General features: G+C 36.4%; 1 pseudogene, besides 1 other annotated feature; it reads left to right on the top strand.

Moving 5' to 3' along the window:
• Positions 15,663-16,192: an enhancer, noted in NCBI's record as "NANOG hESC enhancer chr9:120449653-120450182 (GRCh37/hg19 assembly coordinates)". NCBI's record gives its function as "activates a minimal SCP1, AML or CMV promoter by ChIP-STARR-seq in naive H9 embryonic stem cells {active_cell/tissue: H9 hESC(naive)}" and the evidence as "EXISTENCE:reporter gene assay evidence [ECO:0000049][PMID:30033119]".
• Positions 17,982-18,309, top strand: RPL35AP22 (ribosomal protein L35a pseudogene 22; annotated as a pseudogene).

Here is a 19,761-nt window from a genome sequence, read left to right as displayed (position 1 = left end):
CAAGTCATGTAAACCGCTAAGCTTTACTTTCTTTCTTTTCTTTTTTCATTTTCTGTATTATGGTAAAATCACATAACATAACATGACATAACATAAAATTTATTATCTTGACCATTTGTATGTGTACAATTTAGTGGCATTAATTATGTTCATATTTTTGTACAATCATCACCACTATTCATTAATAAATAACTCCCCATTTCCCCTTTCCCTAGGCCCTTGAATCTATGCACTACTTTTGTCTCTATAATCTTGACTACTCTAGGCAGCTCTTAGAAGTGGAATCATACAGTATGTATCTTTTTGTCACTGGCTTATTTCACTTTGCATAATGTCCTCAAGGTTCTTTTCTGTGTAGTATAGATCAAAGCCTCCTTCCTTTTTAAAGCTGAACAATATTCCATTGTATGTATAGACCACATTTTGCTTATCCATTTGTCTGTTCATGGACACTTGCATTGTTGCCACACGTTAGCTATTGTGAATAATGCTGCCATAAACATGGTTGTACAAATATCTCTTAAAGTCTCTGTTTTCAATTCTTTTGGATACGTACTCAGAAGTGAGATTGCTGGATCATGTGGTAAATCTATTTTTAATTTTTTGAGCACCCACCATATGATTCTCCACAGCATCTGTACCATTTTACATTCCCACAAATGGTGTACAGGAGTTCTCATTTTTTCACATCTTCACCAACACTTATTATTACTTTCTGGTCTGTAAAATGTGGTAATCACTTTTAATCATAGCAGAAGCTTGCATTTATAAAATGTATTAAAATAAAGATACGCAATGGTAGTCAAATTATACAAACCTACCAACCTTTAGTTTTCTGGTCTTTAAAACGAAGATAATCGCATGTGTTTTGAATTACTGAATTAAGCTAACTTACGTAAAACGTCTAGTCTAGAGCATCATCATTACATTCCATAAATGAGAGCTATGATGAGGATTGAAAATGTGGATAGAATGAAGATGATAATATGTATCTCAAAGTATTGTATTGGGATTAAATGAACTGGCATTTGTAAAGCTTTTAGGACAGTGTCTGGAAAGTAGCAAGTGCAATGTAAGTTTCTGTTAAATAAGAACCTGATTTAAAACAGGAATATTATGCATGCTAAGTCCTAGATAGTTCTACTGTAATATCCTCCAAGCACTTCCAATCCAACGTGTCAAAAACCAAGCTGTGAGGGACCATTTTGTGGTGGACTGGGCACAAACTCTTGTAGACTCCATCAACACACCAGTAGAGTTAAGATAAAAACAACCTCCATGTCAAAGCTTTGCTCTGAGTATTGAGATTATTCATGTAAAGATTTTAGAGCAGTGCCTGACACAGAGTAGGTGCTCAATAAAGTTTAGTTCCCTGGAAAGTTAATGGTGTTTCACTTTGACATAGTCATCCAAGGTGGAAATCTCTTTGACTTTATTTCCCTTACTTCCTCATTTCTCATGCTAAACATGTATTAACCCAATTGTCTTCTTTTCTGTGTTCTTGATGTTCTGGCATCTGGGAAGAGACTGCACTTACCAGGGCTAGTTAGTTCTAAAAAATAGCAAAAGATTTGCTCTGGAGCATGCCTTATGCACACTAAGCAATCCAGAGCCCTTCCTCTGAACCACCTCCTCTACCTGGCTTTTACACCCAAGTAGACACCGTTATTCAGCCCTAATCATCACAGGTCCAGGTACCAGACAACTAGAGACAGACCCTCTACCCCAGAGCCCACTGAGGTTATTCAAACTAGCCAGTCCTATCCCTGCTTACCCTGCCTTGCCTTGCCTTTTCTGCAGTAACAACAATAAAAGCTTGTGCCTATAATTTCCTCTTGCTCCCTCTGCCTCCTGACGGACTCTGGTGCTACCAATGTGGCCCTGCATGGTGTGGCATGCCCCCGCTTCTTAGGAACTGTAAACAACAAACTATATTTCCAGTGGCATCATCTTCTGATCTGTTGTTTTCACCATAGCCGAATAATAAAACCTACATTTTAAAAAATGTTCCACCAAGTTGTAGAAATTGTATCTGTAAAATAATTCCAAAATGTCAGTCGCCATTTCTACTACCATTACTATTGAACATATCCCACGGCCTAGACTAGTTCAATATACTTTAAGAAGCCTCCCAAAGTCTAGATTCACCTCTTTCAATGTACCAGCTCTTCCAATTGATTCTTCATCCTGCTGTTGAAAACATCTTTCTAAAATAGAAATACGTTTAACTCATGTCATGCTAATAATGATTTCAGGCTGGGTATTGCCTAGATAAAAAATCTCCTGGCCTACCCCCATCACATATACACATACAGAAACACTCCACTTCCTAAGAATGAGAAACAAATATGTGGGTCATTTCAAGCCAGACATAACTAGACCCCATTACTGGGACACAGTGCTTAAGTGAATAGAGTAATACAAGTGTGTAATAGACAAATGCACTTTCTTCCCATCATTTGGAGAGGAAACCGCTTGATAGTCTAGATGAGGAACTAAGGAAAAGGGCCCAGGGAAGTCCTTTCAACTATGTTTTCGGAGATGTTAATACATGTGTTTTATAGAAGTCTTCCTGGAAATTTTTCCTATGTGTGATTGGAGAATCCCTGGTGGTGACTTGTAAAGAGGTTTCCTTTTCCTGGGAAATGAATGGGATTAACACTCAATCATTTACTGACCTTAATCAAAGACATCTAGGTTCTATGTTGCTCTTCCAGAAGGCAGACCATGTGTCAAATACAAATTAGAAACTGTAAGCCCCTTGGTTATCAGATCTAACTTGCTTATGTTGATGAACTTACCGATGCAGTATTATAATGAGGTAAGACCGTGGTGATTAGTTACCATTAGGCCTATAATTTCTCCCACAGTAGAATAATAACCACCTCTTGTTTTCTTTTTTTTTACTTTTATTTTTACATTCAGAAGTACATGTGCAGGATGAGCAGGTTTGTTACATAGGTAAACGTGTGTCATGGGGGTTTGTTGTACATAATTAATCGCATCTTAAGCATAGTGGTAGAGATTTGGCCAGAGGCAAAACAAGCCACTTGATCGCCTACATCCTTCATGCAGAGCAAGTTCAACTCAGGACCCATAATCAGTCAGTCAATGGAGGAATCCCATATTTGCCAGGGACCTAGAAGTGTTTGCTTTTATTTGGCAGGTAATGCATATGCTGTAAGAAATATGCACAAAACTGACAAGTGTTAGACTAAGCTAATTGCTGTATAAACTTCCAGATTTTATTGTGACTTAATAAAAGTTTTCCTGGCTCATGAAACACTCAATGAGGATATTTCTGATTGGATTACCCCAGGTATGATTCCTGGTTCTAGGCTTCTTTTATTTCATTATACTTTCATATTCAACATGCAGCCTCCAAGTTTACTGCAGAATGTGAAGAAAGTAGGGGATGATATCATGTATTTAACTACCTCTGCTCAGAAGTGACATGCATTATCTCTGCTCTCATTGCATTTGACCAAAACTAGACCCAACACAATACCAAGTTGCAAGGGATCTCTATCTTCTAAGCTTCAAGGCTCTTCCCCCTACCCAAAACTTAAACACACACACACACTTAATGGTGAGCACCACTTCACAGCACCAATACTATACTGTGGAAGAGGAACACAAAATTCTGTTGATCAGCAGGTTGTATTTATGCCACAACCTTAGAATCCTATAATTTCCATTGCATAGTGATTTTAAAAAAGGTCCCATTAACCTGACATATCTAAAAACCAAACCTCATTCCATCCAACCATCTCAAGTTTTTAAGTTTCATGTTTTTTTCATGTCAACACCTCTCAAAGCAGAATGGTTCTCATATAATTGACAATATAGTACAATTATAATTGGCAGAGTTTTTTTTCTTTCTTAGTGGCAAATAAAGTAATGGTACACCTTATAATCAGTGGTACCTTATATACAACAACAGTTTGTTACTAGGAAGAAAAAAAAGCTCTGTTCAGGTAAGTAAAAGAAACAAATAGTTAAACAGAGAAAAACAGATTTATTTTCTAAGGACTCCTTAGAACATGTATTAGACTAATGTTTATTTTGCATCTATGAAAGGAGATAGAGTACTCAATGTTTCCCAACTTTTTGACCCATTCAACCCTCTTTTATCCTTGGACACCCATTACCAGTCCAGAATCCATTAATGTGCCATGGACCAATGCTCTTGTGGTATATAGTACAGAAAATGGTGCTTTTAAGCAAAGGCATAAAGGGTATTCTCTTGGCTCCAGGTGACTTAATTCCTGTCTCTATGGTGAGGTCTTCACATTAAGTACTGCCCTGTGCATCTCATTATTTTCCTCCCAAACACCCTGTACATTTCAGTATGTTCTTCACAAGTACAAGAGGTGAGTGAGTGCACCCTCACAGGTAATCAGCCTACATAGTGCCATCTCCTCCCCAGACCAAAATGTCTATGACCTTTCCTGTGTTATTTTTTAAATTACTTTGAATTTCTCATCTCTTTATTATCTGCCTCTACCAGTAGAATACAAACTCCATGAGAATGGAGGCCTGGTATGATGCTCACAGTTATTAAATGCATGGGTAGATACATAGTTAAGTAGTTGATGAATACATCTCTGAACAATATATCTGTATTTATTTTTAACATGTAGTGAGTATCTTAGAGTATTTGTCACCTTTGCATATTGAGCAATGTGACTATCTTACTAGAGGTCTATTGATTATTCTGGGGCTTCTCTTATACTTTTCTACATCCCTATATTACATTGAGATTCATGTACCCTAGTTCAAGCAACAGAGAAGGACAGAGTCATAGCAAGTGGATTTGAAAGGAAGTCTTGTTGCAGTAAACACTATGTTTTTTCCTGAGGTAGAAAAATCCTTTTTGTCTATTTATTCATGAATAAATAGGCAAAGGATGGTTCATTGCAGGCAAGAGGGTTTTCCCTCTTTGTTCTGACTCCCAGTTTGGCCAGTGAATCCAAGCTTATTCATTCATACCGTGGAAGAGCATGGTGTAATATAGAAAAGGTGTACTAGCCCATTCTCACACCTCAATGAAGAAATACCCAAGACTTGGTAGTTTATTTAAAAACAAAACAAAACAAAACAACAACAACAACAAAAAAGAGGTTTAATTGACTCACTGTTCTGCAAGGCTGGGGAGGCCTCAGGAAACTTACAATCATGGTGGAAGGGGAAGCAGACATGTCCTTCTTCACATGGTAGCAGGAAGGAGAGGTGCAAGCAGAGGAAATGCCTGGCACTTATAAAACCATCAGATCTCATGAGAACTCACTCACAATAATGAGAACAGCAGCATGGGGGTAACTGCCCCCATGATTCAATTACCTCCCACCAGGTCCCTCCCACGATATACGTGGCGATTATGGCAACTACAATTCAAGATGAGATTTGGGTTGGGGCACAGCCAAACCAAATCTGAAGGCTATACTTTAAAATATTTCATTATCCTTTTTACTTTCTGGCATCATCATTTTTTGTGGGTGTCACTAATTTTTAACATCATTGAGTTTCCTTAAACCATACAACAAAAATAACACTATGGCCTAATTAATAATATTATCTGAGGGGTAAATGAGATCTTGTGTGTGGATGTATTTGTAAATGTTACAACTTTACACAAATGTTGACCATAATTCATTCATTTATTTATACACCAAATATGTATGGATGGTTAACATTTTGCCAGGCACTGTTCTGGGCAGAAGACTACAACAGTGAAGAAAGCAGTCCCTCTCACTCAAGTTGAATGTATATTCTAATTAGTAGAGAGATGATAATAATTATAAATAAGTGCATTATATAGTAGGTCCGAAGATGTTAGGATCTATAGACAAAAATTTAAGAGAGTGAGGGGAATGAAGAGTGGTGTGTGGTATTGGAGTTTTATTTATTTATGTATTTATTTTCTCTCTATTTATTTATTTATCTCTTTATTTATGTGGGTTCATAGTAGGTGTATATACTTATGGGGTATATGAGATGTTTGATACAGGCATTCAATGTGAAATAAACACATCATGAACAATGGGGTATCTATCCCCTCAAGTCCTATTGTCTGAGTTACAAACAATCTAGTTACACTCAAATTATTTCAACATGTACAATTGAGCTATTATTGACTTTAGTCATCCTATTGTGCTATCAAATATAGGACAATCAGTGTGGGTCTTTTTGAGAAAGTGATATTTTGAGCCAATTCTGGAAGGAGTCCCTGGCTATGCAGATACTTTGGAGAGAAACACCCCAGTTAGAATAGTAGTTCTCAACTGGAAATGATTTTGCCCCAGGGGGCATGTTGCAATCTCTTGAGACATTTGTGTTTGTCGTAACTTGGGGGTTGGAGGTGTTGCTGCTGGTATCCACTGAGTAGAGGCCAGGGATGCTGCTAAACATCTCACTATGTGCTAGATCCAGGACAGTCCCCCAGCCTAAAATATCAGTAGTGCCAAGGTTGAGAAGCCCTGAGTTAGAAGGATAAGCCAGTCCAAAGATCCAGAGACAGGAAGTGCTAGAACCAACCAGTGTAGAGAGGCACACGTTGCCAGGTAGATTACTTAGGGCATTGTAGGACATTGTTAAGACTTTGCATCTTAGTGATACATGCCCAACGTCTCCAAGTAGGCATTTGTCACCTTTTCTTCAGTCCTCCCACAGCAACCATCTCTCATGTTCAAGAGGGATTATCTTTCTTTCCCACTAGGCTTTTAGCCCCCTTATGACAGAAGCCAAATCTAGTGCATCTCTGTACACCCTATGCCTATCACAGTGCCCAGTAATACCTAGGAGAAGTTTAATGCATGTTAGTTGTATCAGTGATTGTGAAGATAACTCCTGGTAATAGTCTCAATTGACTTGGGTCTTATTTCATATACAGGCTAATAAGATCCAAGTGAGGACAGATTGGATCTGTTACATTCAGAGTTGTAGCTAGTGTTTGTTTGTTATCAGTACATGATAAGTGCTCAATTAACATTAAATGAATGCAGGAATTAGTAGATTATATGTAATCAGCCATTTTTTTTGATGACTGGTCAATCACATTTCTCCTCTTTTTAGCAACTTCCACTGAGAAAAAGAAGGAAAAATCTAAAAGGAATTTATTCTGTCTTTTTCTAGAAGACAACCTGTGATGAAATACTTTGAGCTGGTATCTGACACAATCCTAGGCTAGACTTGCAAGTCACCTTATAACACATCACTGTGGACAGCACATGCTTGCGTAACCCAGAGGTGTATGACATGTGTTTTTGGAAGGAATGGGGTCAGGGCATGAGTAACTTACATTACTTGTCAAGTAGCTGGTTTATTCTACAATTACTCTTCTTTTCTTCTACCTTCCATTCTGGAGAAGTCTATGAATCTGGAAGTAATCGGACTGGGAAATGATGGACAAATATGCAAGTTGGGCAAATACACATGGAGCACAGAAAAGTATCTAGTGTGCAATTTCCTTGAGGTTCAAAAGATATATTCCAATCTATACATAGTCCAAAGAATGGTGCAGGATTCACAGCAACATCCCTAATAAAATTAACTTTTTTTTCATTGATCCTCGGGATGTCCTCAGCTTTATCCTTAGCTTTTGTGAGAGACCTCATGTGAGCTACTTCTTCTGCTACAGAATTGTGTTCCTCTCAGACTCTGCTCCTTACTTGCTGTCTCCCACCCCGACAGACTTTTGATCCTTAACTCTTCTTTTCCTTCTGAAGTATAGGCATTCTATTAGCCACAAACTTCAACATGAGTTGTTAGTTATTCTCTGCTTGGCTTGGTGTTGTTAATGGGTAGAAAGACAAAGAATCTACAAATTCTAAGGAGTAGTGGATGATGTTAAGAGGCTGCCTTGGTAGAATGACCACCAGGTGAGCAGAAAAATTAAAGTAAACTAAAAGATGGGGTGCTTACTGAAGGTGAAACTCTTCCACCAAAATTTTTGTATTTTATGCTGTATGAGTACCTGCCTCCTCTCTTTCTTTGAGTCAACATTTAAATTTTAAAAAAAGAAAAAGAAAAAACCCTCCTAGTGCCTTGGTATTAGAAGGTTGGAGCTCTAGTGAGAAGGAAGATACAGAGATAAAGATAAAAAATAAAAGGTTAGATGTGACATTATGGGAAGGAATTGCATTCAGGGTAACATAAAAGTATGTTGAGAGTACTAAACATAAATATGCTTCAATTTTGACTCTGCCCTTTTGATTTATGCCAAAGCAACCATATCTTTTTCCTTTAGCTCCTCTAGAGCTCAGACTAAATGTCCAGTGAATGCTTCCATAAACTAATATTCTCAATGACATGGCATGGAATAATAACTGAAATTCATGGACTCTGCATTAGATTGGAAATCTTGGCTTCTGGTACTTGCTCCATCACTTCCTAGCTGTGTGACTTCAAATAATCACTTAACTTTATAAGCTTTAGTTTCCTTCTCTGTACTAGTTGCAAGGAGAAAATGAGATTATATAGGCTAAGATTATGGTAATTTTAAGATGTGTTTAGTCTATGTTAATGCTTAATATAGACTTCTCATTACTCATGTAAAAGTAATTTTACATTACTCTCATTACTCATGTAAAAATAATATCCACCGTATCTTTCTGATCACAAACTATTTATTCTAGGTTGGTTTCTTAACATCCTACATCTTTTAGTCAGTTGGAGGTTTCCATGACAAGAAAATGCACAGCAAACAGCTGATAAAACTCCTGTTCCTTTGTATGTTGGAGTTTACTTTCAACACAACATAAATAAGTACATATCACCTTAAGCAGGGTTCCTGATATTGAGTATGGAAAGGGGTGGTGACCTAGGGCAGTAATCCCCAATCTTCTGGGCATCAGGGACCAGTTTCGTGGAAGACGAATTTTTTCCGTGTTGGTTTCAGGATGAAACTGTTCCACCTCAGATCATCAGACATTAGATTTTCATAAGGAGTGCAACACCTAGATCCCTCGCATGTACAGTTCACAATAGGGTTCACGCTTCTGTAAAATCTAACGCCACTGCTGATCTGACAGGAGGTGGAGCTCAGGCAATAATGCTCTCTTGCCCACCACTCACCTCCTGCTGCGTGGCTTGGTTCCTAACAGGCCACAGACTGGTACCAGTCTACGGCCCAGGTACTGGGGACCTCTGACTAAGGGTGTTTGGAAAAAACAAAAAACAAAATTTATCCTCCTTGTCTTCAGGCTCACCTCAAAGTCCATCTCCTCTATAGAGTCTTCCCGTTCCTTCTAAAAAGCATCATCTACTCCCAGTCTCACACACTCATGCATACCAAGTAAAAGTTATCTTGCTTTTCTTTAGAAATATGGTCCTGGGTCTTATGCATACTCTTCTGTATTGAAGGGCATTTTATCACAGCTCATATTCCCCCCAAATCAGGAATTCCCTCAGGATATGAACTTTGCCTTGCACATATATGTAATCTACATAGCATGTCACCTTGTAGTAAAAATAGACTAAAGGAAGGAAGAATGAAAGGAAGGAAGGAAGGAATAAAGAATGGAACGAAAGAAGAGAGAGAAAGGAAGGGAGGAAGAGACTAAAATGAATGAATGAATTTGATAGCAGGATACATTTTGAAATGTAAATATTGGGAAACTATATATAACACAACTTCCCCAAACAAAATAAAATGATTTGACCCTATAATAAAGTACAATGTGAAGCACAAGAATGATGCAACTAGAAGAAAAATAAATCCTCATTCTCTAGGAGCTTAAGTGAACACTCTCCCCATTTTCTTCTTCTGAGGTGATCTGGACGCCATTATCAAGGCTGCACAGTGAAGCCCATAGGCCCAGCTGCCTTGGAGCTTCCCAATAGGCATTTGTGTCATTTCCACCAATCACAAACATTCGCTTTGTCCCAGCCCAACTGAGGAGCACATGCCAGGGGACTGGCCATTCTAAAATCTCCCTTCTGTTCTCGAAAAGTGGTTTCCACAGAGGTAGTTTATTCGTATCCAAATCCCTCACCTTTAAATGTGCTGAAAAGTGAGTTTGAAATTAGACTCAGAGCCATATGGCAAAGCTGAGGGCAACATATGGTTGCAGAATGCTCAATGCTGATCTATAGAATCTTTATGTGTGACTTCCATCTCTCTTTACACAGGAGGCAATGGTAAGATTGGAATTCTGTATTTTGAACTGCCCTGTCCTTCATGTGGGAAAATGAAACTCATAATTCAGCATTCCTGATCAACTTATTTTAGGTTTTTTGGTCATGGTGGGTGTGGGGTGCAAAGGAATATCTGTACTCCTACTTATGATCAACAGTATGTAAACTGTTAAAAGATTCAGTCTGTGAACTGGAAGTATAATGTGTCCAATAAAAATGTGAGTTTATGTCAGCTGGACTAGGTCTCCCCTACAGATTTCAGTCATGCCCCTGTGAACTGCAGGTGCAGACAAATCAGCCCCATGCAAACAGGGAGCATACTGTGCTACGGGTAACACAATGAGATGATAAGGAGAGAGATGGGTTCTGCGGTCAAAACATGAAAACTGACTTTATTAACAAGCTGAAAAGTCTGAAGAGAAGGGCATTATAAAAGAAAAGTGGTAAATCATGTATAAGAAATCAAAGAGAAAAAAAACAGATGCACAGGGAAGTAGACAATTGAGAACATAGCTCTGAAAATGCTAGTCCACAGCATGTCCTGCCCACCTCACTCCACTATCAATATCACCATTACTGCAAAGACAAAGAATAATATCATTATTAAGTCAGATGCCAGGAAACTTGGCTGGGTCAATTGGTACGGGTTTGACCATGTTCTACCATTATATGGAATCAAATTGCCAAGAACGGAAGCTCTTCTTGCCATGAGGCTAAAGAAATCACTTTAAAAAATGTGAAAACTAAAACCTGGATATACACATGCACTTTTTCATATAGCTAAATCCAGTAAAGCTGGAATTCAAACTCAGTTTTTAAAAAAAATTCCAGTTTTATCATTACACTGTACCATCAGACAAATCAACAAATAATTAAGCAATGGGGAAACCTTTAATGGGGAAAGCCATCACAAAATACCCTAGGAAAGGACACACACGGAGAGAAAACGGTCTAAGACATCTGAAATACAGCAAATCAATGTGATTCTTATCATTATAACTATTGCCAACATTGAGGTCCAGTGCTTATATAAGTCAGGGAGTCACTTTGATAATGATATATCACTAAACTGTCACTGATGTCCTAAACAGCTATTGAAATTTACAACTTACTAACTTAAAGTGTACAATTCAATGGTGTTTATTATATTCATTCATATGTTCAACTATAACCACAGCCACCTTTAAAGCATTTTCATCACCATAAAAAGATACCCCTAACCCTTTAACTCTCACTCACTTCCACTGTGATAATGGAAGGATCTCATTATCACAGCCCTAAGCAAACATTAATCTACTTTCTTTCTATATAAATTTGCCTATTCTGTATATTTTACATAGATAGAATCATATAATGTGTGGCATTTTGTGACTGGCTTCTTTATGTGGCATAATATTTTTAAGGTTCATCTGTGTTATATTAATAGTATGCATAAGTTACTTCATTCTTTTTTACAGCTGAATAATATTTCACTATATGCATATACTAGAGTTTATTTATCCTTTCACTAAGTGATGAATATTTGATTTCTTTTCACCTTTTGGCTATTATGAACAATACCGATACAACATTTGTGAATACGTTTTCGTGTGGGCATGTTTTCATTTGTCTTGGATATACACCTAGGAGTGGAACTGCAGAGTAATATTGTAACTCTGTTTAATCACTTGAGAAACTTTTAGACTGTCTTCCAAAGTGACTGCCCTATTTTACACTACTAGCAGCAATGTATCAAGGTTCCAACTTCTGCAACCTCATCAATGCTTGCTATTGTCTGTTTATATCTATTGTACTGGATATAAAGTGGTATCTCATTGTTTTGATTTTCATTTTCCTGATGACTAATGATGCCAGGAATCTTTGCAAGTTTTTATTGGCCATTTGTATATTTTCTTTGGATAAATGTCCATTCAATTTCACTGTCCATTTTCTAATTGAGTTATTTGTTGTTTTATTATCAAGTTAGAAGTATTCTATATATATTCTGGATACTCATTTCTTATGAGATATATGATTTGTGAATATTTTATCCCATTCTGTGAGTTGTCTTCACTATTTTGATTGTGTCCTCTGAAACAAATGCTTTTAACTTTTGATTTCCAAATTATCTCTTGTTTCTCTTGTTGTTCTTGATATAATGCTTTTGGAATTTTATCTAAGAATCCATCACTAAATCTGAGGTAACAAGGATTTATCACTATGTTTTCTTATAAAAGTTTTCTAGCCATAGATCCTACATTTAGATCTTTCATTCATTTTGAGTTAATTTTTGCACATAGTGTGGTGTAAGAAATCATTTTGCATGTGACTATCGAGTTTCCCAGCATCATTTGTGAAAAGACTATTGCTTTCCTACTGAATGATATTGGCACCCTGGCTGAAAAGCAGTTGACCATAGACACATAGACTTATCTCTGAACTCTCAATTTTGTAATATTTATCTACTTGTCTACCCTTATGCCAATACCACACTGTCTTGATTACTTTTGCTTTGCAGTAAGTTTTGAATTCTAGAAATGTCAGCTATTCAAATATATTCTTCTTTTTCAGGTTGTTTTGGGTCTCCTAAGTCTCTTGAAATCCCATGTGAATTTTAGAATTAGTTTGTTAATTTCTACAAAGAAGCCAGCTAGAATTTTGATAGGTATTGCATTGAACCTGTAGATTGATTTGGGAAATCTTATGATTTTAACAATTTTACGTCTTACAATCCATGAACATAAGGTATTTTCTATTCATTTAGATGTTCTTTAATTTCTTTCAATGATATTTTACAGTTTTCAGAGTATAAGTTTTGTACTTATACTTTTAAAATGTATACTTATTAATATATACTTATACTTTATATTTTATTAAATTTATTATTTTTATAAAATTATAAATTGTTTTCTTAATTTCATTTTCAGACTGTTCAAGTATATAGAAATGCAATTGATTTTTATGTATAATCTTAAATTCTGCAACTCTGCTGACTCATTTACTAGTTTTAATAGTTTTTAGTGCATTCCTTAGGATCTTCTAAACATGAGATGCTATCAATTATAAATAGAGATGTCTTGACTTTATTTTTTTCAACCTGGATGTTTTTATTTCTTTTTCTTTCCCAATTATTCTGGCTAGAACCGCCAGTACAATATTGAATAGAAGTTCTAAGAACAGACATCTTTGTGTTGTTCTTGCTTATAGGGGAAAACTACTCTGTCTTTCATCATTCAATATGTTGTTGGCTGTGAGTTTCTTATAGATGACCTTTGTCAGCTAAGATAATAAATGAGAACAAGTATGTAACTATTGCTTTTGTTACAAAAACCTTCTCTTTCAATTTTTCTAGTTCTCATCACTTGTATCTGAGCTTTAGAGTTCTCATCTGGAGTCCTATACCACATTTCCTTAGCCCTGTACCACTTTCCTCCCATCTTCTACCTTCGTGCTCTTATTATCAGATATATTACATTTCTGCATATTATAGGCCCAAAATGCATTATATGCATGTTATTTTATAAAATTCCTTTTTAAGTCACTTAAGAAAAAAGAAGAAAAAAAGCTATGCATTTTTACTGGTTTTTATATTTACATAATTACCTTTTGGTGCTCTTATGTGAACTCAAATTACTGTCCGGAGTCACTTTTCAGTAGAAGAGCATCCTTTACTTACTTCCTTTCTTGTAAGTTAGGTCTGCTAATAAAAAATAAATTCTTTCAGTTTTTGTTTACTGGAAATGTCTGTATTTCCCTTTCATTTCTAAAAGATGGCTCTGTTGAATTTATGATTCTTTTTTAAAGTATTTAAATTTGGGCATTTTTATTTTTTAAGTTTTATTTTTAATTGACAATAATAATTAGATATTTGTAGGGTATGATGTGATGTTTCAATACATGTATACCTTACGGCATGATCAAATCAGGTTAATTAACATATCCATTACCTCATATATTTATTATTTTTTGTGGTAAGAACATTTAAAATCCTCTCTTTCAGCCATTTTGAAATATATCATACATTAGCTATAGTCATCATGCTGTGCAATAGATCAACAGAACATATTTCTCTTGTTTAACTGAAATTTTGTATCTTTTGACCTTTTTTTGTCTACTCCCACTCAGCCTCTAGTACCCAGCATTCTACTTTCTAATTCTATAAATTTGGCTTTTTTAGATCCTGCATATAAGTGAGATTGTACAGTATTTGTTGCTCTTTGTCTTTTTTCACTTACTATAATGTCCTCTAGGTTCATCGATGTTGCAGCCCATGGCATAATTTTCTTCTTTTTCTAGGCTACATGGTATTCCATTATTTACATGAATCACATTTTCTTAATCCCTTTGTTAATGGACACTTGAGTTGTTTCCAAATCTTGGTTATTGCAAACAATGAGTGCAGACATCTCTTCAGCACAATTTCAACTCCTTTGGATATATACCCAGAAATGGGGCTGCTCCATCATATGGTAATTGTATTTTTAGTTTTTTAAGAATCTTTCATACAGTTTTCTAAAATGGCTATACTAATTTACAATACCACCAACAGTGTACAAATGTTCCCTTTCCTCTGCATAGGATTCTTGATTAACAGGTTTTTCCTTTGAGCACTTTAAATAGTTGTTCCATTATCTTCCGGCCTCCCATTGTTTCTGATGAGAGGTATATTGTTAATCTTATGTGTGTGGCGGGGGTGGGGGGGGGGGTGATCCATTTTAAATGACAAATCATCTTTTTCTTATTGCTTTCAAACTATTTTCCTTATCTTTAGCTCACAACATTTTTACTATAATGTGTCTATCTGTGGATCTCTGCATTTATCCTACTTGAAATTTATTGAGTTTCCTAAATGTGTAGTTTTGGGGGGTTTTTTTCCAAAAAATTTGGGAAATTTTGAGTCATTTTTAAAAATATTTTTGTCTGCTCCTTTTCTTTTTTTCTCCCCTTTATGTGCTCCTGTTACATACATGTTGGTAGGCTTAATGGCGTCCTACATATGTATAAAACTCTTTTTCATTTTTCTTCAATTCTTTTTCTCTCTGTTCTTCGGAAGAAATCTTTCCTACTGATCTCTCTTCAAGTTTCTTAACTGTTTTTTCTATCTATTACAAGTTATCCTCATGCCCCTCTAGTGAATGTTCTATTTCAGTTAAACTTTTCAACTCCAGAATTTGTATTTGGCTCATTTTAATAATTTCTCTTTTTATTGATATTATTTATTTAATATTAACTTTACGTCTTTAATCATGGTTTCCTTTAGTTCTTTGAACATATTTATAATGGCCACTTTGAATACTTTATTATATCTAACATCTACTCTCCTAGGCAGCTTAGGTTGCTTTTTCTTTTTACAGTGTATGGGCCATACTTTTCTTCTTCTTCTTCTTCTTCTTTTTTTTTTTTTTCATGGTTCATTGTTTTTTTGTTGAAAACAGAATATTTCAGATAACATATTGTAGCACCTCTAGGTCTGTTACCTTTCTCATTGAATCTTATTGTAATTTGCTGGTATATTTGTTTTGTAACTGGTTGCTTTTTTTTTTTTTTTTTTAGTAAAATCTATTCATTTACTCCCACCTACACTGTTAAGCCTCTGATGTTGTTTCTTAGTGGGTACAGCCATAGGTGTGCCAGCATTCACTCGAGAAAGACAGTGGTGTTAGCAGGGCTCTCTTTGCCTGTCTCTCACCTGACCACACCCAGCTGTAAAACTCCACTAATTGCTGGCCACCTGTTCTATTGTTTTCAACAATGCCCTGGAGCATAAATTCCTATATAGGCTAATCCAATAAAGTTCAGCCTCCTTTGAAGGAATAGTTCTAAAGTCTTTGTTAAAGATCCCTTTTGACCACAGAAGTGTCCCTCTCAGCTGTCTCTTTCTCAATTTATCTCCGGAAAACTAGCTGGCCTATGGTTTAGCCCATATTTCCAATATATTTTCTACTATCCTCTCAATTACATTTTATCACAATCTCTACTGTCTTTGAGAGAGATCTTGATTCTTTTGCAAATTAAGTCAGAGATTAGGAACAGTCTGTTTGGGGAAGAGATTAAGAACTATCTGTTTTAAGGCCTTTTCCCCCACCTAGGCAAAATTTCTAAAACAGCTCCGGCCAGTGAGTGGTATGGTATACTTCTCTATGAGTGACACCCCTCATTTTAGAAACTGAGTGCTCAGTGGATGAGGATAGCTTCAGGTCTTCTAGGCTTCCCTCTCCCAGCACGAAACCACTCACTGCCTTAACAAATGGGATATGGGTGATTGGAATTTTAATACTTAGTGATGAATGTCCAAGGTAGAGCCCTCATTCTATATAGTGGAGACTGAGCAGAAAACAAAGGAACATCCAATTTTGCCTTCACTTGCCCAGAACTTAGCCTCAGAAACAGGTAGGTGGAAGTAATATGAGAAATGGTGATATCTTGCCCTAGGTAGCTCCTCAGCTGGGAGTTGTGGGGTAATAGAGGTCCATGTTCTGGAGAGGATCAGCCTAGAGTCCAGTTTCTGTCTCACTGAGCTGGGAGTGGGGAGTGAGTGAGTCTGGGTTCAGATACTATAGACTCTCACTATTTCCACCACGTCTTAGTGCATTTTCTTAAATCAATGTTTCATCATTTGCCCTTTGAACTATTTTCACAGACTTTTAATAGTTTTGTGTGTGTGTTTTACTAATTTTCACTAGTTTCTGAGAGGAACATGTCCACAGAGCTCCTCATGCTGCCATATCAAAAGTGGAACTCAAACATAGGCGCTCAAACATGGAACTTTTTGCACCAAAGTTAATATCCAAAGAGTAGGGACAGTAATCACAGCATAAGCGATGGGAAAGAAAAAGCAATAAAGAAGAGGTAAATGAGGTATAAAAAAGAAAAGAACAGTAGCAGCAAGAAAGACACTTGATGGAGGAAGAAAGGAGAGGAAGAAGATAAAAAAAGATGGAAGTGTAAAACAGTCATAATTGACGCAAATTAAGTCAAAAGAAATTGGTGTTTGGTCAGTGAGAAGCAACTGACATATGTTGATACCCTCACACTGGCCTTTCATCAAACAGTGACTTACCTTCCAACATCACCCAACTATTTCATTGTTCATGTGCTGAGTTTCCCAAAGGTCATCTTGAGTTCTTGCAAAATATATATATGTGTGTATACACATATATACATATACACACACACACACACACACACACACACATATATATACATGCTTTTCCCCTTTTTCCTCAACACATAAAAATCCTCCGTATCCTTGAAGGATTAGTTCAAATGCTGTCTCCGCCAGAAATCATCCTTTTATTTACCCAGAGCTGCTTTGATTTTTGCCTTATCCATTTTCTAATTTTTCCTAATAATTTACCTGTATGTCTATTGTAAATTTATCTTTTCTTTCTCCCTTCCAGGGTGTTTTGGCTCCTGTTTATTCCCAAGTCTGATTGTCTGAAATACCCTCAAAGATCCTTTCACTGTATTTCTGTTTTCTTATGTTAGCCAAAGAATACTTACATTCAATAATCCTATTTAGTGGAGATATATAAATGTTAAAAACAACTGCAGAGGGAGATTTGCACAATAACATACTCATATTCTTCCATCCATCATATGAACGAACAAGACTGATGAATGAATTGAATAAATGAATTTCAGAAATAATGAAATGTGCATATTATCATATTGGGAAACTAAGAAAAACAGCTCAGTAATCTTGGAGGAGAATGGAGTAAAGATAGCACGAAATGATTCCTATCAGCTTCAGAAAACGAGAGGACAGGAGGGAGGAGATGAGGGACTGGTGGTGCTGGTCCCCTGATGCTCAGAGAATGGGTGCCCAGGTCTGCTAGAAACAGGACTTCTAGAAGGTAAATAGGTCCGGAAGACTATGGTTACAAGGCCAATTTTGCTGGCTATATGTAGAGGCTTCAGAAACAAAGGGAGTACATAGCTCTTCTTAAAATCGTAGGTATTTATGCCTGAGATGAAACTGAATTCTGTTTGGGCAAGAGATGTTCTAATGTATACAAAGCAAAGAACAGCACGGTGACTCTTGGCAGCAAATCGTACAAAACCAGAGTAATCTGGTTAAAGGTAACTCATGCCCATGGAAACAGTGGCAGGATTTGTTTCAAATTCTTAAGCAACCTTCCTGCTAAGGCCATTGGATGGAGAATTCATGTGATGCTGTACCCTTCAAGGATTTTAACTAATAACAAGTAAATAAATAAAAGTAGATATGGAAAACAACACACACACACACAAAGACAGAACAGGAAAACTATTCTATTTTTCATGTCTTTGTCGCTAACATTTGCTATGTGATCTTGAGCACAAAATAGCAACTACATCCCCACTTCAATGACTTCACCTGTAAAGGAAGGAGCTAAACTAAATTTTAATTTTTCCTCCTCAGAGTTTCTGGCATGCTATGTAAAGAAGAATGTGATAAAACAATATCAAAGGGGTAACAAATCCCCAGAAAATTTGAAAATTAGGTACAAGACTGTTTTTTTTTATTAAAGGAAAAAACATGAAGAAAAGAAGATAACTATAGCTATAAGGTGCTACACTCCATTTCAGCTTCCTAAAGGACATCCCCCTTCTCCCCCGTCAATTACACAACCAACTCGAACAAAGAGCATATAACTTAGAAATGTTTATTTTTAACAAAGAGAGAAGCCTGGACATAACGTCACAGCTTGGAAAATCTTATCTCTCCAGAGTTTTCAGCCTAAATAATTGGATCAGCCTCATCTAACAAATGCTGCTAGCTTCTAAGTCTATGGAGAAATCTGGTTTAAAATTGCCACTCAGAACTGTGAGGGACCTTAACATCTCAATTAAATGGTTGACATAAGAACAAGATAAAAAGAAAATGAGAAGGTAGACTGACTAATTGTGAGAGAAAGGGGATTTCTTCATTGCACAAAACATAATCTTCATTTAAGCAGAGATTGTCAGAAGTTATCAGCTCCAAATACAAACACATAAAAGTTCAATAACAGATAATTCAACAACAAAAGGCATCACATTTCTACATGGGGGATTGAAAATTCAATATCTAACTATATAAAGGAAACTGGAGCACTTTAGACTTCCCCCAGATCTCAGAATGCATCTCTCCTGGGTTTACAGTAAGGAATCTCCCAAATTAAGCCAGACTTCTAAACAATAATTTTCCAGCCGCAATGTCTGCCAAATGTCAATAAAATTTCAGAATCCCACTGACAACAAGAAGAGAAGATACCCTACAAGAATATTCAAGGGATATGGATTCATCGAATTCAAAGTCTAACCTTAGGAAACACTTTCACCTGGAGTTTCTTCTTTGCTCAAAAGTCATGTGACATTACCTACTGAAGGAAGAATGTATTTCTAAGGAGAAAGGGAGGAAGTTGTAATGTTCTCCTGAGTATAATTCCTCCCAGAACTAGTCAGGAAAGATTCCATAACCCTTGGTCAAATGTTTAAATGTGAGAGAAATAAATGGTGAGGACTAGACAACAATTAATATAGCATTCATATAGCAGTGCAATGTTCATATTCCACTCGAGTGAAGGCATCATGGCAGAATTGAAATGGAGCATGTTTTAGAAATAGACAGATTTGAGTTTGAATCTCTGCTTCACATTTTGCCAACTGTGTAACTTTGTC

Source organism: Homo sapiens, chromosome 9, assembly GCF_000001405.40.
Source record: "Homo sapiens chromosome 9, GRCh38.p14 Primary Assembly".
In the NCBI taxonomy this organism is placed as follows: Eukaryota; Metazoa; Chordata; class Mammalia; order Primates; family Hominidae; genus Homo; species Homo sapiens.
Note: the sequence above shows the minus strand (reverse complement) of the source record. Positions and strands in the feature narration are given on the sequence as shown.